We start from the raw sequence: 19,874 nt of genomic DNA on the forward strand, positions 1-19,874 counted from the left end.
GACTCTACTTTATGAGGCTGACGTAAGCATTACATGAAATTTTGTATACTTATACATAATGTGCTTAGCACCGAATACTTGGTGACAGCAGATGCCCAATGAGAGTTATCACAGATATTATTTCAGAATCGTGAAGAGTCAGAAGCCACCAAATTCTTGATTTCTGTCAATAAACTGATATTCATATTCTGTTGATTTTTTTTGATGCATTTGTAAAATAGGGAAACAAGAGCTGTATGACTTCTAGCTATGTCTGGTCATGAAATAGCAACCAGGAATAAGGCCACATGATGTTTCTGATGAACACTTCCCCCTGCCCTTTTTTTTTTTTTTTCAGATGGAGCCTCGCTCTGTCACCCAGGCTGGAGTGCAGTGGCACAATCTCGGGTCACTGCAACCTCCGCCCCCCAGCTTCAAGCGATTCTCCTGTCTCAGCCTCCCGAGTAGCTAGGATTACAGGTGCACGCCACCAGGCCTGGCTAATTTTTATATTTTTAGTAGAGATGGGATTTTGCCTTGTTGGCCAGGCTGGTCTCAAACTCCTGACCTCAGGTGACCCATCCACCTTGGCCTCCCAAAGTGCTGGGACTACAGGTGTGAGCCACCATGCCTGGTCCCCCACTTGTTGATTTTGCAGAAAAGATAGCTGTGTTACAACCTGTCCTAAGGTCAGGTATGAATACTTGTGCTTCTTTCTTGGCTCCCCAAGCCAGAGGGCATTCCTATGCCCAGGTGAGAGAGCACGGAGTGTTACTTTGGCAGCACAGTCAGTTACCAGAGGTAGGAAAAGCAAAGGCCAGGCAGGACATGAGGGGCCCTTGCACTGGCTGGTTCTCCCTGCCTTCACCACCCTCCAGGTGAATGACTGGGTGAATAATGATTGACTGAGGAGGTAATGAATAATTTATGGACACTGCTGGACCTCAGTCTCCTCATCTGAAAGATGAGTGGTTGGAGAAGTTTAATGGTTTTCAAATGCTTTTTTTTTCAGTCTTCAAATAAGTGTTTACGTAGAAGCACCATATCTGAAACAGGTGACAGTGGACCAGTCTGAATGAAATGAGGGTTGGCAGGCCTGAGCTCCAAAACCTTCTGATTGCCCAAGCCCTCCTTGTCTTGCTTGGATTATCTCCACACAAATGGAGAAACTGGACAAGGTGGTCATGGAGGTCCCTGAAAGCTCAAAGACTTTCTCATTCCAGGATTCCCCATGTTCATATGCCAGCATGGCATGGGGGTGCTCTGTAGTCAAGCAGGGTCCTTTGGGGGGCTTAGGGATGGAGCCAGGAAATGGCTCTGGGACTCAGCGGGTGTCCAGAGTCTCATCAGCAGGGTTTCTTTACTTTCACTGAGTGGCTGGTGCCTGCACACTGAGTTTTGCAGGCTTACTCTCACAGAGTGAGCTTCCTGCAGGCCCCCCACTGCAACCCCTTTCCTTCCTGGAGCTGTGTGCTGACTGGTGCGTGAGCACCCCAGGCCCTCTCCCCATGCTGCTGATGGTCAGCTTTCTCTGCACGCTCGTGGTTGCCACAGTCAACGCTGATAAAATTGCTGATGCAGATTGCCTGCCCAGCTGCGAGTGCTGGCACGGGACCAGCAGCCCAGACGGTCACTGGAAGTGGTTGGGCTGATTATTGGCATCATCTCCATTGTCCTACTCGGTTCTTAAAGGCATATGGACTTGCCTCACTCCTACAGCAAATGACGGCATGGGCAAAGAGGGGCAACAGACCCACCCTGAAGACACTCCTCATCTGGTTGACTTGGCAGGGTTAAGGGAAAAAGATGTGATGACTAGGAGCTGAGAGCTTAGTGGTTCTGCCAGAGCTGCAGAGTCTTTGTTGGCCTCAGGGTGGGACCTCTCACATCTCTGTCAGCTTTTCACGGACACCAACCTGTTATGATTCATTTCACCTGTCCTGAGCACTAGCAAGAAAAATTCGCTGTAGCTTGTGATGTATTATTCTGGATTTCTCAACTCATTCATTTGTTCATTCATTCACTATACCATTACTGTCTATTATAAGGGGGGCACAATGGTAGGTGCTGGGAATAAAAACGATGTTTAACGTTTCATGAGGCTTCCCTGTCCTTAAGGAGTCCGCGTGTCTTTGTACCTGTCTGTCTGCTAGATTATTAAGTGACACTGTGAGAAGCTACTGAGAGCAGCATGTGGGACATGCAGAAGGGCAAGAGGCAGGAGAGATGATTCATGTCGGAGGGGCAGGGGAGGACTGACGGAGAGGGTGATGTTTGGCTGAGTCATGAAGGCTAGTGGTATTTTTCCATGCAGAGAAGTGGGAGGAAAGGCATTCTGTGTGGAGGGCACACAGTGTGCAAGGGCAGAGAGGTGTGAGCGAGGGTGGTGAGCTCGGGGCCATGAGTAATGCAAGAGCATGGGGTGTGCAGGATGAGTGGCCAAAGGTGGGGCTAGGAAATAGTGGCTGAGGTCATTATGTGAAGGCTTTGTGCTACTGCTTCAGAGTTGTGGAACGTGATGTTGCAATCTGGGAAAGACGCTGATGGCAAGGGATAGCATCATCAGGTTGTGCTGCCATCCCTGAAAGGCCCAGGCTCAAAGGTTTTGGGTGAAGGAAGCCAGGAGGGTTAGAAAGGGAGGAAGATGCCAGGGCATCTGGTAAAATAAAGCATGTGTCAGGCTTGGAGTTGCATAAGGCAGGTGCCCTGAGCCCATTGATGCAACTTCCAGCTGCTTTGATGGAGCACAGGCTCATTTGGAGAATAGACCTTCTCTGGCCCTTGCCCACCCTGTTCACCTCCCAGGGCCCAGCTTCTCACCTGCTCGCCTTTGGTGTGGCTGGGGGAGGCATAGGCCTCTGGGTAGTGCTGCCGCTCAAATGGGCACTCGAGCGGCTCGAGGTGGTGCTGGCTGAAGGCATCCGTGCGAAGGTGCTTTCGGGGTCCGCTGCTGCTGCTCTGTGAGTCAATGCTTAGTCGGCAGCTATCCTGATCACCTGGTACCCCCCGGGAAGGAAGAAAGCTTTTAGGGGACCTATCTATTCATGCTCTAGGCCAAAGTAGAGGACTGACTCCAAGCTGACTCACTGTGGAGGGAGAAAAAGGGCCAGCCACGTGGGCCCAGGAGCCTTGGCCAACTGAGGGACAGGACATGTGACAGTCACATGCAGAGCCCCTACAAAGTCCCATATCATAAGTGGAAGGGTTTCTGTCCCCATCAAAGCCTGAGCAAACTGCTCTCGTGCACCGCCCGCTGCCCTCCTGTCCCAGCACTCACTGTCATCCATTTTCCTCTTGTCGCTGCCAGGCTGAGCGATGCCCAGGAGCCCATTGATGGAGTAGGTGGAGCCCAGGGAATCCGACTGGGGTGACTCCGGGGGAGTTACAGCTGAGCTGGGGACTGCAGTGGGGGAGAGGGAGAGGGTCAGGGGTGGGAGTGACACCCCTCACAGCCCTGGGTGACTCTGGGGTAGTTACAGTTGAGCTGGGGACTGCAGGGGCTGGGGGAGAGGGAGAGGAGCAAGGGGTGGGACACCCCTTACAGCCCTGGGGTGACTCTGGGGGGACTGCGGTGGTGGGAAGAGGGAGAGGGTCAGGGAGTGAGAGTGACACCCCTCACAGTCCCTGCTGACACTGTGCAGGAGGCAGCAAGCCGAACCATGGACTGAGCCCTGGAGGGGCTCAGGTCCTTCCTCCAGGGGGCCTCCTGGTGGGAGGGATTCTTGGAGTTAGAGCTGTCTCAAGTGTTTGCACCTCTCCATAGTTCAGTGAATCTGCCCTGGGAACAGGCCAGACTTCGTCGCAGTGGCACAACTCAGTCTACACATGGGTTTGTGAATGGTACTGTGCACAGCTATGTCTGTGTGGGTGTGTCTGTGTGTGCCTCTGTGTATATGTGGGTATGCTGAAGGGGAGGTGTACACGAGCATGTGTGTGTATCCAGGTCTCTCAGCACTCACTCAGCGTGTGTCCGGGACTCAGGGACTTGGTGGCCACGCAGCTGTCCATAGGGAGGTTGAATGGTTGCTGCACTTTGGTCCGGATGATTCTGTGATGAAGAGAAGAAAGGCCATGAGAGAGAAGAGGAGGAAAGAGAACTCATGGCTGCCCCAGACCCAGTCGCCTTTTTGACACCCCTTTTGGGTATCTCCAAGGCACTTGAAACTCAACTGTCCACAGTCAAGTCTGTGACCCTACTCCGCATGCCTAGTCCTCCTCAGTTGTCCGCATTTCATGATTGGTACCATCAGTCACTCAAGGCCAAAACAGAGATGGGGCTTAACCTCTGCTTCCCTCTCTTTCCTATCAAACCCATCATCAAGTTCTGTGTTTTGACCTTGTGAACCTTGCCAACGTTGACCCCTCTCTGCGTCTCTCCATCAGCACCTTAGTGCATGTCATCACCAGTGTTCCAGGGTCACTCAGTGGCCCACGCCCATCCCCTCTTGGCCCTTTCTAAGTGATTCTCCCTACTGCAGCCAGAGTGGACTTTCTGAAATGCAAGTTGGCTTAAAATCTGCCAAGGGTTTCCCATTGCTTTATGACCAAAGGCAAGAAGATATAACACAGCCCCCAGCCTCTGAAAGGTCACCTCTGCTGACATCTTCAACTTCAGCCTACCTTGTGCTCCCCTGCTCTTTATCTACTGGTTTTCTTTTCTTTCTTTCTTTTTTTTTTTGAGATAGAGTCTTGCTCTTGTCGCCCAGGCTGGAGTCCAGTGGCGTGATCTCAGCTCACTGCAACCTCTGCCTCCCATGTTCAAGTGGTTTTCCTGCTTCAGTCTCCCAAGTAGCTAGGATTACAGGCACTCGCCACCACACCCAGTTAATTTTTGCATTTTTAGAAGAGATGGGGTTTCACCATGTTGGCCAGGTTGGTCTCGAACGCCTGATCTCAGGTGATCCACCTGCCTTGGCCTCCCAAAGTGCTGGGATTACAGGCATGAGCCACTGCACCTGGCCTATCTACTGGTTTTCTTTTGATCCTATTAGCCACAGGGCCTTTGCATAACTGTCTGAGCTCTTTTCACCTAGTTCTCTTATTGTTTTTTACTCAAGGGAAGACTTTCATGAACTTCATAAACCAAATAATCCTGTGCTACCTTGCATATCTTCATGTTCCTTTTCTTAGCAGGACTTACAGCTGCATTTTTACAATATTTTTTGTAGGTAGTTGATTAATATCTGTGTTCTCATTAGACTGTAAGCTCCGCAAAGATGGGCTTTGTGTGTCCCAGGGCCTAGCACAAAATGAATGAGTGAATTATGTGTGAATGAATTAATGAACAAGCGAGTGAGTAAGTAAATGATTGATTGAGGCAGTGAGTGAATCATTGAGGGACTAAACGAATGAATGCTTGAATGTGGGCTGGGTTAGGGGTCTGATGGCTTAGAAAAGGATCAATTCATGAAGATTCTTTTATTGAATGAAAGCAGATGTGGTGTTTGAGGAAGGAAACTGTAGATAGCACACTATGGCTGGGGGCCAGGGGGAGGGTGCCCCATAGCATGGGGCAAGGGAGGAGGCAGGGAGGTATGATATCTGCCTGGAGCCAGGTGTGCTCCCTGCCTGATTGTTCAGCATCAGGCCCCTTCCCGGCCTCTGCTCCACCCAAGCCAGGCCTTTCTTGTCTCTTTCCTGATTTCCCCAAAGCCCAGGGGCCCCAGCCTGACACCAGAGGCTGCTTTCTCTCTTACCTATTAATGGAGCTGACACTGGGCACAGTGTCATTGTCACAGACGCCCTCAGCCAGGAGCCGGTCTCGGATCTCCCAGGCAAACATGGTAGGGTTCTGGCGTTTGTAGTCCCCAATCTTCTCCACCACCTTGGGGGTGGCCACCTTGGGCTTGGAGCCCCCTATCACTCCAGGCCGGATGCTGCCAGTCTCGTAGTACCTACTCCAATAGAGAATCCCAAAGAATTACCCAATAAGCAGGTGGGGTCTTTAGACAGGGATTTAGCCAGAGCCTCCCTCCTCTCTGAGGCTTCTGGGTAGGGGTATGAGAGTGAAATGTGCCTCCAAGGCTGGTCTCAAACGCTTGATGTGCATGGAACTATCTGTTTCCCTCACTTGGGTAGGTTCATGCTACTGCCAAACCAGCACCCTCTGCTAAAGGCCTCACCTTGGCTTCTCTCTCTTCCTTCCCTCTGGCCAGTCTCTTGTGTCCTAGCATCTGCAACAGCCATTGTATGGGGCACAAAAGATTTCCCTTCTAAGAAAGGAAATCTTGGTGTGCCTGATGTGTGAATGACAGGGGCACAGCAGTTTGCTCTATCCAGCTTCTTTTGGCTAAAGCACGACTGAGGTTTTTTTTGTTTTTTTTTTTTGTTTTTTGAGACAGGGTCTCAATCTGTCACCCAGGCTAGAATGCAATGGGACAAGCTTGGCTCACTTCAAACTCTGCCTCCCAGGTTCAGGTGATTCTCCTGCCTCAGCCTCCCGAGTAGCTGGGATTACAAGCGTCTGCCACCACACCCGGCTAATTTTTGCATTTTTAGTAGAGACAGGTTTCACTCAGTTGGCCTGGCTGGTCTTGAGCCCCTGACCTCAAGTGATCCGCCCACCTTGGCCTCCCAAAGTGCTGGGATTACAGGCATCAGCCACCATGCCCAGCCAATGACTGACTATTTTCTTTGGCCACCTAGAAAGCTAGCCGAGGTCACTGGACCCTCTGCTCTGTCTTGCTGGTTCACCTTTGCTCCCTGCCCTGTCCAAGCCTGAGGCATATCCCTCACCCCCCTGGTCACTGGTTTTCTATCAGGTTTTAGCAGGTTCAAGTTGAAGCTTCTCCTCATGGACTCTGGAATCCTGACCTTGCTTGGATCCCCAGCCAGGTCCAACTTGTTAAGCTGAGCCTCCTCTTCTGGGGCCTCCACCCTTCCCCTCCCTCTATCCTCCAACTAGTTGCTTTGGCAGATCAACCGCCTGTGTCAGCATATCCTCCTCTTCTTGTTGTAGAAACTCTCTGCTCTCATCTGCATGAAAAAGAATCTAGCTCTTTAAAACTCCATTCATCTGTTACTTCCATCCAGGACTCATCTCTTCTGGGACACCACAACCCATCACAGGAATCCCCTCTCCCTAGCCCAGCAAAGGATCATGCCTTTCCCTAACTACTTCAGGAGGGGAGCCAGGGCTTTTCACGGTTCAAAGAACAGTCCAGGTCCCTTTACCTTGTCCAACCAGGGCTCCTCCTAAATCCACCTAAGGGTCAGAGCAGGGGGACAGGCACACGTACACAGAGCTGACTGGAAGCTGTGGCACAGAGGCATTTTTAATGGAAGTGGCTTTGCAGACTGGAATCTGTGACTGCATCAGCTCAGAAGCAGGCCTTTGCTGCTCCTGGTCTCTTCTGAATCTTTGGGTCAGTGGTTCTCAACCCTGGCTGCAGAGAATTAGAGTCACTTGCTGGGGGCGGATGGGCTGGGGAGTTATATGCCAAAACTTGCGCCTATTTCCCTAAAGTTCGGATTTAATTGGTCTGCCCTGGGGCATAAACAGTATTGCTATTTAAAAATCAGGCTTCCCCTGGTGACTGTAATGTGCTACCAGGGCTATGAAGCACTGATCTGGGGTCTTGGGGAATTATGGTTTGAGAAGCACAAACTCAGATATCACTCTTTTAGGGGTTAGACCTTGGGAGCTCATCTGTGTGTCCCCTCCCTAGTGGCCTAATTTCCCTAGGTCTCGGTAGGAGGAGGACCTTGGGGGAAGATTCTCTTGCCTTAGCAGGAGAGAAGCCTATAGCTAATGAGACATGGAGCAAAAGAGAAGAAGGGAGAGGGAGAAACTAAAAGAAGGATAAATGGACAAAGAAAGAAGGAAGGGCAAGAAAACAGTAGAAAAATAGTGGCTGGGTAGAGGCCCAGAAGGACCACCATAACTGTTCAGGTCTCAGGACCAAAGCTGGACATTGGGAGCAAATCCCCGTTCCCTGGGAGGGGAATTCTCTAGCTGCCCTGAGATCAGCTGGAGAAGTCAAGCCCTGCGGGGAAGGCGGCCTGCGGTGAATTTCGTGCTTACCTGCCAAGGATCTTGCTGACGCAGCCATGGCTGACGCGGAGCTGGCGAGAGATGTCGCAGGGCCTTACACCCTGGTGGGCCAGGTCTACGATGCGCTGGCGGACCACTTCCGGCAGAGGTCTGCCATTCACAAAGGCCCCTCCCAGCTGGTTCAGCCCTCCATGGCCTAAGGAGACAATATTCCCAGGGACAGCTGTCAGGGTCAGGTAGGAGTTTGGGTGGGGATTAGCTATGAGTACAGGTGCTGGTGTGTGTGTGTGTGTTTGACTGTGACCATGAAATCCCACGGCCAGGCCCTGTGGGCCCCTCTGCACCCCTTCCCCAGTTCTCACTCCCAAGATGCTGGCACAAATGGTATGTGATGCTCATCCCCCACGATGGGATGGTGTCACAGGAGCACCTTGGGCTTGGGGACTCTTCAGGCAGACTCAGCCCTTCACTCCAAATCACAATCCCCTATTTTCTTCCCTCCCTCTGAAAAGTGTGTAAGGAATTGAGGATGTGGGGTCTTCCCATACCAATACTGAGCCGTTTGACCTTGGGGAAAACCCCTTCTCTTCTGAGAGTCTCTTTTCCTTTTGTAAAATGACGGCACAGGTGATTTTCACCTTTCTCCTTCTCCTCATGGAACCAGATTTTAAAACACTACCTCATTGAGAAAAAAAAATACAAAAGAATAAAAGCAGAAACTCTCTGGTAGAGCTTGGGCAGAGAAGGCCTGAGCTCTGTCTGTGGACTTCTGGCCTGAATGACCCCCAAGGTTCCTTCTTTCTCTAATAGGCCAGAGCAGCAGGGACCTGGTGCAGGGTCCTCACAGGCATAGATAGCACTGGGTTCCAGGACTGACACAGGGGCTACAGGCCACTGTGGGAATCTATCCACGTCATGGATGTGTGTACACGTTCCCTTAGCTGCTTTCCTGACTTGGCCTCTGCTCTCTGGCCCCAGCCTGTGTTTCATTCTGAGCCCATCTATCCAGTCAAATCCATTTGTATTGAGTGCTAACTATGTGCCACGCACTGCACAGGTCCCTGATGATGCCAAGGTGAATAAGGCAGACATGATCCCTATTCTTCCCTCATGGGGTTTATTACAGTGAGGTCCTAGACCAGCAAACAGCCAGTTAACATATTTTGTGACCACTTTTGGGACTGGTGACATGCAGAGAGTTATGGGAACCACTGGAGGGGAACTTGACTTGGCTCAAGGAAACACAGAAGGGTTCCTGAGGAGGTCTAAGCTGAGACTGAAGATAAACAGGTACTAGCCAAGTGAGGGAGAGAGGGGAGAAAACTGTTCCAGGCAGTGGGAACAGAATGTGCAAAGACTCAGAGGCAAGAGGATACTTGTCTGTTAGATTTTCCAACATATTCAACTCTATAGTACCTAGAGCCATACTGGGCTAATTTCAGGGCCGAGATTTCCATTTTTCTCATGAGGAGACTGGGGCTCAGAGAGTTTTAGTGCTCTGATTTATATGACTTGTCTAACTCAGCTTATATGAGGAGGAGCTGAGATCCATCCAGAATTTAAGGCTCAGATCAGGGCTGCTCCTTGAGGGGAGCCCTGTTCTGGGGCTAGAGCTATGCCTGGATGCTTGTCATTGGCTCTGCTGTTTTGTGCTGAACATGCCATGGTCTTTTTCACACCAAGGGCAGGATTTGGTGATATGACTGGGAAGGTAGAGCCCTGCAGTGTGGGAGTCAGGGAGCAGGCAGGTGAGAAGGAAGAGCCAACCCCAGCCTTCTGTGTGAACCAGTTAAAGACTGTTTATGGCCGAGGGTGGGAAGTGCCTTTGCTGGGCACACAGTGCCCATTATCACCCACTGACTTAGCACATTCAGAACTGCCTTGCAATGTCTCCTCAGGGGCCCAAGCTGTCTTCAGCAGAACACTCAATTTCCCTTTAATAAAGGGGGTGGGGGCCAGGTGCAGTGGCTGACATCTGTAATCCCAGCACTTTGGGAGGCTGAGGCGGGCGGATCACCTGAGGTCAGGAGTTCGAGACCAGCCTGACCAACATGGTGAAACCCCATCTCTACTAAAAGTACAAAAAAAAAAAACTAGCTGGGCATGGTGGCACATGCCTGTAATCCCAGCTACTCGGGAGGCTGAGGCAGGAGAATTGCTTGAACCTGGGAGGTGGAGGTTGTGATGATCCCAGATCGCATCATTGCACTCCAGCCTGGGCAACAAGAGCGAAATTCCGTCAAAAAAAAGAAAAAAAAGGGAGGTGGGGGTGCTCTAAGCCTCTGCCCTGGGCAGTAAGTCAGGAGGAAAAGCCCTCTGGCCAAACACCCAGCAAGAAGGATGCAATGACCCATCTTCCTGGTGGACACAACGGGTGAGCTTGGGCACAGCTTCCACCTATGCCTGTCCAGGCAAGTCTTCCTAGTGACTGCTTCTCCACTAGGGCTGGAAGAGTGCTTGGAGGGCCTTCAGGAGAGCCCAGATGGTGGGCAGAGGGGCCTTTGCCCAGTCCTAAGCCCATTCCTCTGGTCCTCACTGGCCAGAGTGCCATTTGTGAATTGCTGTAGCCATTTGCCCTCACTGCATCATTGTTGCCTTCCGGCTCTTTTGGGTCCAGGCACTGAACACAAGGGGGCGCCAGACAGCCACCCAAACACAGACAAGACCTTCAGCAGTCCAGCTTTGTCCTCATTTTCCAGAAGTTTCCGGGCCGTATCCACCCAAACCTAGGTGTTTAGGCTGGGACCTCTATATCTGAAAGCAAGGTTTCTTAGAGGTGGAGGTTCTTCACCTCTACAAATGTGAAGCAGGTTTAAAAAAAATGCCATTCTGGGGTGGCATGAATTGGGTATTGTGCCTTTTTTTTAAAAAAAGAAAACGACGCTGTAAGTTGTGTGGGACATTGCTCTTAATTATTATGAAGGACTGACTCGCATCCTTAGAAACCCAAACCCTCAGGAAGCCACCTGAGAGGTTATTTACCGTTATCAGCAAGCATTGTAGTGCTGGGAAAGATGCATTCACATTTCTGGCCCCTAAACGGTGAATTCTCTGGTGCTTATTTTATTTGACTGTCTTCTGAATGACTTTGTGTTACTGTGGAAAGAGTCTTGGGCCTGATCCCTTCTTTGACACTGCCTGTTTTAGTCTTATCATTTGAGAAAGTGGGTTTTTTTTTCAACCTTAGTGTTTTTATCTATCGAATGGAGCTTAACAAAACTTATGCCTGCTGCTGACTTAAACCCCTATAAGAAGATAGGGGGGCTGGGTGTGGTGGCTCACGCCTGTAATCCCAGCACTTTGGGAGGCCGAGGTGGGTGGATCACGAGGTCAGGAGATCCAGACCATCCTGGCTAACATGGTGAAACCCCGTCTCTACTAAAAATACCAAAAATTAGCCGGGCATGGTGGCAGACGCCTGTAGTCCCAGCTACTCAGGAGGCTGAGGCAGGAGAATGGCATGAACCCGCAAGGCAGAGCTTGCAGTGAGCCAAGATCACACCACTGCACTCCAGCCTGGGTGACAGAGCAAGACTCCATCTCAAAAAAAAAAAAAAAAAAGAAGATAGGGGGACCAGGATGGAGAAGTGTTTATTTAGATAAACAAATCTTGCTATAAATGTAACGTTTTTCTAATTTGTAATATTCCCATGGTTGAATGTTATGACCCAATCTTGGGAGTAGGACTAGGACTAGGGAGTGTTTTCTCAAACTTCAGTGTGCATCAGAATCACTTGGCAGTGAGGGTTATTAAAATACAGAGTACTGAGCACAATGCCCTAAGTTTCTGAATCAGTAGGTCTGGGATTGAACTAAGAATTTATGTTTCTAAGAAGTTTCCACATGGTGCTAATGCTGCTAGGCCAGGGTCACACTTTGAAAACCACTGGTTTAGGCCAGGTGATGGCTGGTAAATTAAGCGTAAGAGAATAACTCTTCATACTCCTCCAACATTCTTCTGACAATAATAATGATTGTTTGTATATTATGGTTTTCATTTCTTTTCAACTCAAGACATTGACCAAGTGCCTATCATGACTCAGGTACAAAGCACTGGGAATACAACCTTGAACAAGACAAGAATCCTGGCCTTCAAGGAACTTCGAACCTTTTGGGGGATATGATAAGACACATTAGGAATCACCATGTTAATGGTTATCTTTCTTGAAGGATATAAGTCCAGGTGCTTGGGGAGACCCGTAAGTGGTTAGAGGGAAGCTGCAAGGAAGAGTATCTAGGAGGTAACTAGGTGAAGAATTTTCTTCAGGGGGAAAGAAATCCATGCATAAAGTCTTGGTGCCTTCAAGAAATTGAAAGACATTTAGTGTGGCTGTAGGACAGGCAGGAAAGAGAATTTGGAAAGAGCCTGCTGGCTGCAGATGGAGATGGCCCCTATGGTTTGAAGTTTTAAGCTGAGTCTCTGCAATGGAAAGACCTTTGTCTTTCCTGTGTCCGGTGTGGGGGAGTGGACTCTTCTGGGTGAGTCACCACCAAATGCCCAGAGGTGGGTGCAGACTTCCTTCCTGCACTGGGGTTGGGGGGACGATTGGCGCCCACTGTGCTGACCACCTCTTCATGCAGCTGCAGGTGGGGTGGGCTTTGAGGCCGGAAGCCAAAAATGAGTAGGAGCCTCCTGGTTGGGCGGGAAGTGGGGTGAGGGGGGAAGGTGTGGCCCAGGAAGAGGTTTGAAGCCTCATAAGCAAAGACTCTTTGTATGTCTGGAGGATTGTGAGTGGGGAGGTGGGGTGGGTATGGGGGAGGAAGACAAGACCGCCTGGCCGGATGCAAGCAGGTTCCTGAGTGAAAGGTACTCAGACGGGAAATGCAAGCTTTCCTGGGGTCAGAGAGGACTTATCGTACAGTAAAGGGATTGGAGCTCAGCAAAGGTCTAGGTGAAGCTTGCTGTCCAGAAACATATCCTTTTGAAAAGTGACCATTCAGGGAGGTCTTAGGACTTTGTTGGTAATTTCTTCATCCTTTATAGAGCTCTGAGTAGTTGGGATGGCAGAAAGAAAACAGAGACACTTATTGACCAAAATTCTTGTTATATGCACCAATATCCAAACCCTTAAGATGTGGAAATCCTTTCTCCATGTTCCTATAGTCCTTTGCACAAATTCCTATCATAGCACTGACTGCATTGAACAGTAACTTTCTCTATTTGAGTTTCTTTATGAGTTACTCAAAGGCAGGGGCCCTGTCTTTGTCTACTGTAATTAGTGTTTTCTTATATACAAGTGATAGAAAAATGGTTTACATTGGTTATGGTTGTTGCATGGATTCCCATGATTCTGCATGGTGGGACCCCCAAATCCCATGCTTCAGTACTTTCCTCTTTATCCTTTTGCTTTATCTTTTGCGGCTCTGCCCAGTCCTAAAGTGGCAATGGCTCAATGTGGTGTTCTGCAAAAATTTCCACTTAACTATCTGGGGCTTTTTGCTTTAGTCCCATAGAGTGTCAAGGTGATAGCTGAGCCTTGGCAGGGCTATAGTGAGAGGTGCAGTGGCCTCTTTGGGTGCCTTTCAAATCATGCCAGGCCTATACGCCTTCCACAAAGGAAAGGCCTTGTCCATGCGAATCAGTCCCTGGCATTCTCAGCTTGGTGTTGTTGCCTTCCCCAGCTGCTCACTTGCAGGTCTGTGATCTCCATGTGCCACCTCCCAGCTAATCCTCTTGGCTTGGTGCCTTTCTGGAGTAAAGGCCAGGGTCTGTGCCTCCAACTGCTCCTGAAGAAAGTGTCCCAGGGCCATGGAATCCCAGTGTCCAAAGTCTGCACACTGGATCATGCCAGCACACATGAGGTTATGGGTTACCTGGACACATGAGACCCTTGGACTGGGTAAAAGAGGCTGGCATGCTGGAAAGCAGCATCCTGCATCTGCTGTTACCCCCAACTTGCTGCATGACCCTTGGTTACCTCTGTGCCTTACACTTGTCTTCCTAAGGGAAACTGTAGCCGAAAGACAGCAGCTAGGCAAAGCTGCGGCTTGTGTTTCTCATTGATCTCTTGCCCTTCTACCTGTGCTGGAATCCTACTCCGTCAATTATCCTCCCATTTAAAAACATTACTTACCTCTTCTTTTATACCAGGTCCTTCCCCTAAACGTACAAATGGAATTAAATTAATCTATGTTGCCTCTCCACCCCCTGACCTCAAAATACATTAAACAAAAAAAATTCTTCCCTTGACCATGATACTCTTCTTTCCTATTGTTTTCAACTAAATTTCTCAAAAAGCAGCTATACTTGCAGCCCATTCCTCCCTTCACATTCGGTGCTCAGCCTGCTCTGTGCCTCCTGCTTAGCATGTGCTTGGTGATGAGTGGCCATGGATGGACAGTGAGTGGTTGGAGGGTGCCATGTTCTCCCTCTTGAAGAGATTTTAGTGACAATCCCATCTCCTGATTCCTTATACCTTCAGTCTAGGCTTTTTGCTTTGCTTTAATGGGGTTCTGTTCCCTTATTTGCTCCATGACATATGTTTTCTCCCTTCAGGCTTCTCTTAGTTCTCAGTGTTTCTCTCCCCCTTCAAGGCCATCCTTGGTGATCCTACACACCCTTATTGTCATACCTACTACCCATCTCATGATGGCATCATGGGCATCCCAGGTAACCCCAGTCAGGTCCTTCCCCCAACTTTTGTTTTCAATTTCTATTGGAGATTTCCTCTTAGGTGATAAGGGGGCTCCTCCTCTAGTGTTGTCTTGGTTGGTAACAATACCAGCTGTCATGCAAGCTCAGGGCCTGCCCCTTCCACTCAACCTCCTGCCACCTGCCACCACACTCTCTGCACCGCACTGTCATCGGTCTTCTGCACAACCTTGGAAGTAACAGTGTGTCCCCAGCCTTGGGGCACTTGCACATGCTGTTCCCTCCTCCTGGAGCTCTTGTCTCCCTGTCGTATCTAGTTAACTCCTGCTCATCCTTTATATTTCAGCACTGAGTCACTTCCTCGGTGGCTTTGCTTTATCCTGCAGAGTAGGTTCAGGCTTCTGTTTGGGTGTTCTAATAACATGCTTTACCTTTCTTGAATGGCTGTCATAGAAAGGTAGCATCAAATATAACTGCTGTTTGGAATCTGGTTGAAAGTGAGGGGAAGAAAAAGTCTCATAGTCAAGGGAGGAATTTTGGGGGGACTGGGGAGGTATCATAGATAAATTTAATTGCATCTTTAGGTCCAAATTTTAATTTTACATTTTTTGCATAACTATATATGTATGAATCATAACTGTCTTCTATCACCAGATAGAAAGCTCCATGAGGGGAAGACTTCTTTCGTTTTGATCATTATTAAATTATATTAGGTGTTCAGTAAACATGTCACATGAATCAACTAATAGCCTTTATCTTTTTCCATTCTCTGCATATGGAATACTCACAAGACCACGTTTTACCTCCTAAATATTTACCTAACCAATACCTTCCTGTCTGTCCCCAGCATTCAAATATTCCTGCATTCATTTATCCATTCTACATGTATTTTATATGCCTACCATGTGGCAAACATTTTAATAGAACTGATTACATAGAATTGATTTCTACCTTCATGAAGCTTTCAGGCTAGGGATAGGTAGGCTGGGGATGGGTATATATTTAAAAAGTAAATACAGAAATAAATGTGTAATTACTACTTGGAATAAGTGCTAAGAAGAACACAACAGGGTGTAATGGGGTGGGGGTGCAAGAGAGAATGAGCTCAAGCTGATTAGGAAGATGTCTCTAAATGACATGTAACCTGAGTGGAAGGTGAGTAGGAGTTAACTACTCACCTGGACTCATTGGTCTCCACATCCAACCTTGCTCAAGTGAACCTTTGCTACCCAGCTCGGGAGCAACACATCTAAATCCTAGTCTGGCCATATCACTCCCATATTTAAGAATCCTTGCAAGGCATGGCATCATTTTCTTCATGGCAAAGTCCAAGCTACTAAATCTTGTAGACAATGCCTACCACTACCTGACCCTGACTTAGTGTTCAAGCCTCATTTCTTACCTGTCTGAGCCTTGAACCTGATGCCCTAACAACACAGAATTGCTTGCCATTCTTTCGCTGCATCTGAATCCTCTCCTGGGTCCTTGACTGTGTCCTCCATGCCTGGAGTGCCCGTCCTCACCTTCTCCAGATTGATTTCCATTCATGCCTTAGGAGTCGGTTCAGGAAGCTCCCTCCTACAGAAAGTCTTCCCTGGCTTTCCCTGCCTGCTCTCTTTGGTCCTTTCTTTTAAATAAGCCAGGACATAGTCTCAGTAAGCAGAATATAAGTGCCTGTTGGTTATTGAAAGGAAAGAACAAAGGAAAGAAGGGAAGAAGGAAGGAAGGAAGGGAAGGAGGAAGGAAGGAAGGACAGAAAGAAGGAAGGAAGGAAAAAAGAAGGAAGGAGGGAGAGAGGAATAGAGGGAAGGAGGAAGGAAGGAAGGAAGGAAAGAAGGAAGGAAGAAAAAAAGAAGGAAGGAGGGACAGAGGAATAGAGGGAAGGAGAGAGGGAAGGAGGGAGGGGAGGAGGGAGGGGAGGAGGGAGGGGAGGAGGGAGGGAGGAGGGAGGGGAGGAGGGAGGGGAGGAGGGAGGGAGGAGGGAGGGGAGGAGGGAGGGGAGGAGGGAGGCAGATCTACAAGTCTAGTGAAGCCCACACCTTCTTTGCCTTAAACAGAATTCTGTTTTCCACAGACACATATACTCACAGAAATGAGTTATTTAAAGAAGACGGTCCAGATTCCACAGTCCAAAAAAAAAAGAGGTTTGCCCTGCTTCTGAAGGAGTCAGGGTATGAATGCAGAGGTCTTCCTGTTGGCTCACATATCAGATCTTCAACGTCAACATTAAATGCGTGAGTGCTTGCCAGGCTCACACTGTTGAGAGCAGCTTTATGGTTGAATGTGGCAGTGTGTTCTGCAGGAGTCTTCTGTGAGATTAGTGCTACTCTTGCCATTTTACACCACTAAGGAAACTGTCACTGACTCTAGTCTTTGGAGTCTGAGCCAAGAAGTCTTTTTCTTCTAACCTGGGCCATAGAGACTCTATGGAGAATGATGGGAGGTGATCTACACAGACTCCTCCCTCACTGGGTTGATAGCTCTGTTGGGAAGATGTTAACATCCATCAGGGGAAAAAACCACGAGAGACAGCTCAAGCTAGGGAGGCAGAGGGTTAGCAGCAAATGCTACCCCTTCTGAGAACTCAGACATTCCAGACTCAGAGACCCCATGAGAAGTTTCTGACTCAGGACTGTGTAGGCAGTGCTGCATGCATATGCCTGCCAGGGCTCAATCAGTAAAAAAAAAAAAAAAAAGTTCTCCAGTTCTCATTGTCAAGGAGCTCAGTACTGTGTTCAAGGCCAAGGACATGATCAATCCAGTCTTAAAATCTGGTTTCCTCAGATCTCTTCTGGTATCAGCCAGGGCTTGGTCAGAGGACAGAAACCTTCCTAGGTATTTCAACAAAGGGGCTTTAATATGGGGAATTGTTGTCTGGTGTTGGAGGGCTGTAAGAGCACAAAGGAAACACTGAAATAGCCCAGAGATAGTAGCTACAGGAAGCAACCACTGCTCCTCAGCCTGGAGGAATCAAAGGGAAGAAACTGGAGTTATCAGAGCTACATGTTTAGAGGAAGAGCCTGTGGAGCTGGGGATTGGATCTCCGAAGGGCTGGCTCATCCCAGCTATTGCTGGGGGCATGTGAGGCTGGCTCTGGGAGAGCTGAGAGCTGGAATCTGATTCAACTACTGCTGCTGAGGTATTGGCTGACAAGAGCCACATACAACAACAAGAAGAAAGTCCTTCCACTATCCTTTAAACTTCTACTACTTGCCGGGTGGCCCATTTATCAGTCCCTCATATATTCTATTATTCTATATATATATACATATTCCATATATGGAATATATATGTGTGTGTGTATATATATATATATGTGTGTGTGTGTGTGTGTGTGTGTATATATATATATAGAATAACACCCAAACTGAGAGGTAGCTTTCAAATCTGTCCTCTTGCCCTGATGAGTGGGTGAGGTTCATGTATTCATTTATTTCCATTCCTTAAAGCTATATGGAGAAGAGAGTCAGAAACCCCTGCTTCACCTCTGACTAACTTATTACTTTGGCATGAATTTCTGTCACTTCTTTCTGTCTTTCCTTCTAAGTGTGCCAAGTGATCTAAATAACATGGTGCACGTGCAGCACCTGACACAGGACCTGGGCTTCAGTAGACCGTCCACAAATGTTAGCCATTACCCTCACCACTGAGACCCACCATTTCCATAACAGGCACTGTTCCAGGTTCTGGGGACATAGGGGGATGAAGAAAGATGGGTCTCTGCCCTCTTGGAGGTTATGGTTTTATGGGAAGATTCTTTTTGTAATGATTTCAAGTTAATTAACTTATTTATTAGCAAATGGCAAAGATCCCCCACCCCTATCTGCCCCTCTTCTTGCCTGGATTGATTTCTCTTCTCTCTCTTCTAAAATCCTTAGTAATGATAAAAGGGCAGGGTTCTGGGATGCCTGGAGGGGTAGGAAATAATCCCAGCTCCTTCTTTCCCCTTCTAGTGCCCATGACTAGGCTGTTACCGATTGACTCCTAGCTTGTTATTGTTGCTGTGTGCTGGTCTTTGGGGCTCTGTTTCCCTGGTGGGGTGTCTATGCTCTTTAATGCATCCCAGGAGGATCCTAAGATGTGAGGCCATGAGGACCAACGCCAGCTCCTTGTCTACTACACTCTGAGGCTCAGGCAGATATAAGAGGGTCTTCCAATCGAATGTGATATTTGGCTTCCTTAGATGCTTCTGCCTTAGATCAGCCCAGAGGGTGGCTGTGGTGGAAGGCTTAGCATTATTATTTCATCCCCAATAGTGAGAGGGAGCTGGGGAGGGACAGGGGAGGGAGATAGAGGATGGATAAAGAGGTTTCCCTTGGATTAGACTCTGTCTGGGAGAGAATCAAACTAGGCTCGTATTTCACCAATGCTGGACCTAAAAGAAGAGGAAGTGGGGGAAGGAGGGAGGAAGAGCTATCTTTAGTACCCAGCCCCTCTTCCCCATTAGTCAATGCCTAAGAATAATAATCATAGCCAGTATTATGGGAGGTGCTTATTTTTGGGCCAAGCTGAGTATTTTAAATGCATCTTTTCAATTAATTCTTATAATAACCCTTTGAGAAATGAAGTACATTATCATTTTATTGATGAGAAGATGAGGAACAGATTCGGCATGTAACAGGTTCAAGGCTCCACCTTTACAAAGTGGCATTACTGAGACTCAAGCTGAGAGCTCTCAGATGCCATAGTGAATGCTCTGCACTGCTTACTTTTGCCCACCCACCTCCGGCGCCACCCCTGGCAGCAGCACTGTATTCCAGGAATAGCCAGACCCCGCCCTAAGAGCGAATATGTCCTTTCGTCACCTACCAAGTATGGGTGCTTTCCAAAACACACTTCCAAGTCCTCTCCAGCTTTTCATTTTCTTGGGGCCTAATTTTTCCTTTTTAAATTTTCTCCAGTCAGAGAGGGCACCTAATTCCTTTATTTCCCTTTACTCTTGTGTACTGGCTGGTTGTCCTCCATTCTCTTTGTTTACATCCATCGCTGCCTCCTTTCTTCCCAGTCTTTCCGGCTCTGGGTTTGCATCCCTGCCCTCAGTGTCTCCCAGTTTCCTTGCTTTCTTTTATTTCCCTCCTGATTGCTGCCTCCCCAGTTCTTACCAGCTCTCTGTCCCAGTCCTTTCCTGTCAAAGATGGCAGACTCCTCCAATGCCACCGCTCCCCTACCCATCTGCCCGGAGTCTTCCCTTCTCTCTCCCTCCCTGCTGGCTCTTTTGGCCATCCCCCTTCCCTGCATAATCTTTATTGCTTGCATGACTGCTCAGGTTCTTTATCCCATCTTCCCCTCAAAGGCATTCGCAGCTCCGCT

At 48.7% G+C, this 19,874-nt stretch overlaps 1 protein-coding gene and 1 long non-coding RNA gene across 6 annotated transcripts in view, besides 1 other annotated feature; one reads left to right on the plus strand and one right to left on the minus strand.

Annotated features, from left to right (window-relative positions):
• The window catches only part of PAX8 (paired box 8), a 62,925-nt gene that overhangs the window by 22,755 nt on the left and 20,296 nt on the right, over positions 1 to 19,874 (minus strand). For all 4 annotated transcript variants that reach the window (NM_013992.4, NM_013953.4, NM_013952.4 and 1 more), the window contains exons 3-7: positions 8,003 to 8,168; positions 5,676 to 5,873; positions 3,939 to 4,027; positions 3,257 to 3,379; positions 2,800 to 2,975 (exon numbers count right to left, since the gene is read on the minus strand). In NM_013992.4, coding sequence (NP_054698.1) covers positions 2,800 to 2,975; positions 3,257 to 3,379; positions 3,939 to 4,027; positions 5,676 to 5,873; positions 8,003 to 8,168 — 752 coding nt within the window. The remainder of the gene's footprint in view (positions 1 to 2,799; positions 2,976 to 3,256; positions 3,380 to 3,938; positions 4,028 to 5,675; positions 5,874 to 8,002; positions 8,169 to 19,874) is intronic.
• The window catches only part of PAX8-AS1 (PAX8 antisense RNA 1), a 31,497-nt gene that overhangs the window by 3,225 nt on the left and 8,398 nt on the right, over positions 1 to 19,874 (plus strand). Inside the window, 2 exon segments of one of the 2 annotated variants that reach the window (NR_015377.2) lie at positions 12,016 to 12,155; positions 16,639 to 16,798. This is a non-coding gene — a long non-coding RNA (PAX8 antisense RNA 1). 2 annotated transcript variants of the gene reach the window in all.
• Positions 2,169 to 3,368: an enhancer, noted in NCBI's record as "P300/CBP strongly-dependent group 1 enhancer chr2:113998497-113999696 (GRCh37/hg19 assembly coordinates)". NCBI's record gives its function as "activates an origin of replication core promoter dependent on BRD2, BRD4, P300/CBP, MED14 and CDK7 cofactors, with strong dependence on P300/CBP, by STARR-seq in HCT116 cells {active_cell/tissue: HCT116}" and the evidence as "EXISTENCE:reporter gene assay evidence [ECO:0000049][PMID:35650434]".

The sequence above is a fragment of the Homo sapiens genome, chromosome 2, assembly GCF_000001405.40.
Source record: "Homo sapiens chromosome 2, GRCh38.p14 Primary Assembly".
NCBI classification, from domain to species: Eukaryota; Metazoa; Chordata; class Mammalia; order Primates; family Hominidae; genus Homo; species Homo sapiens.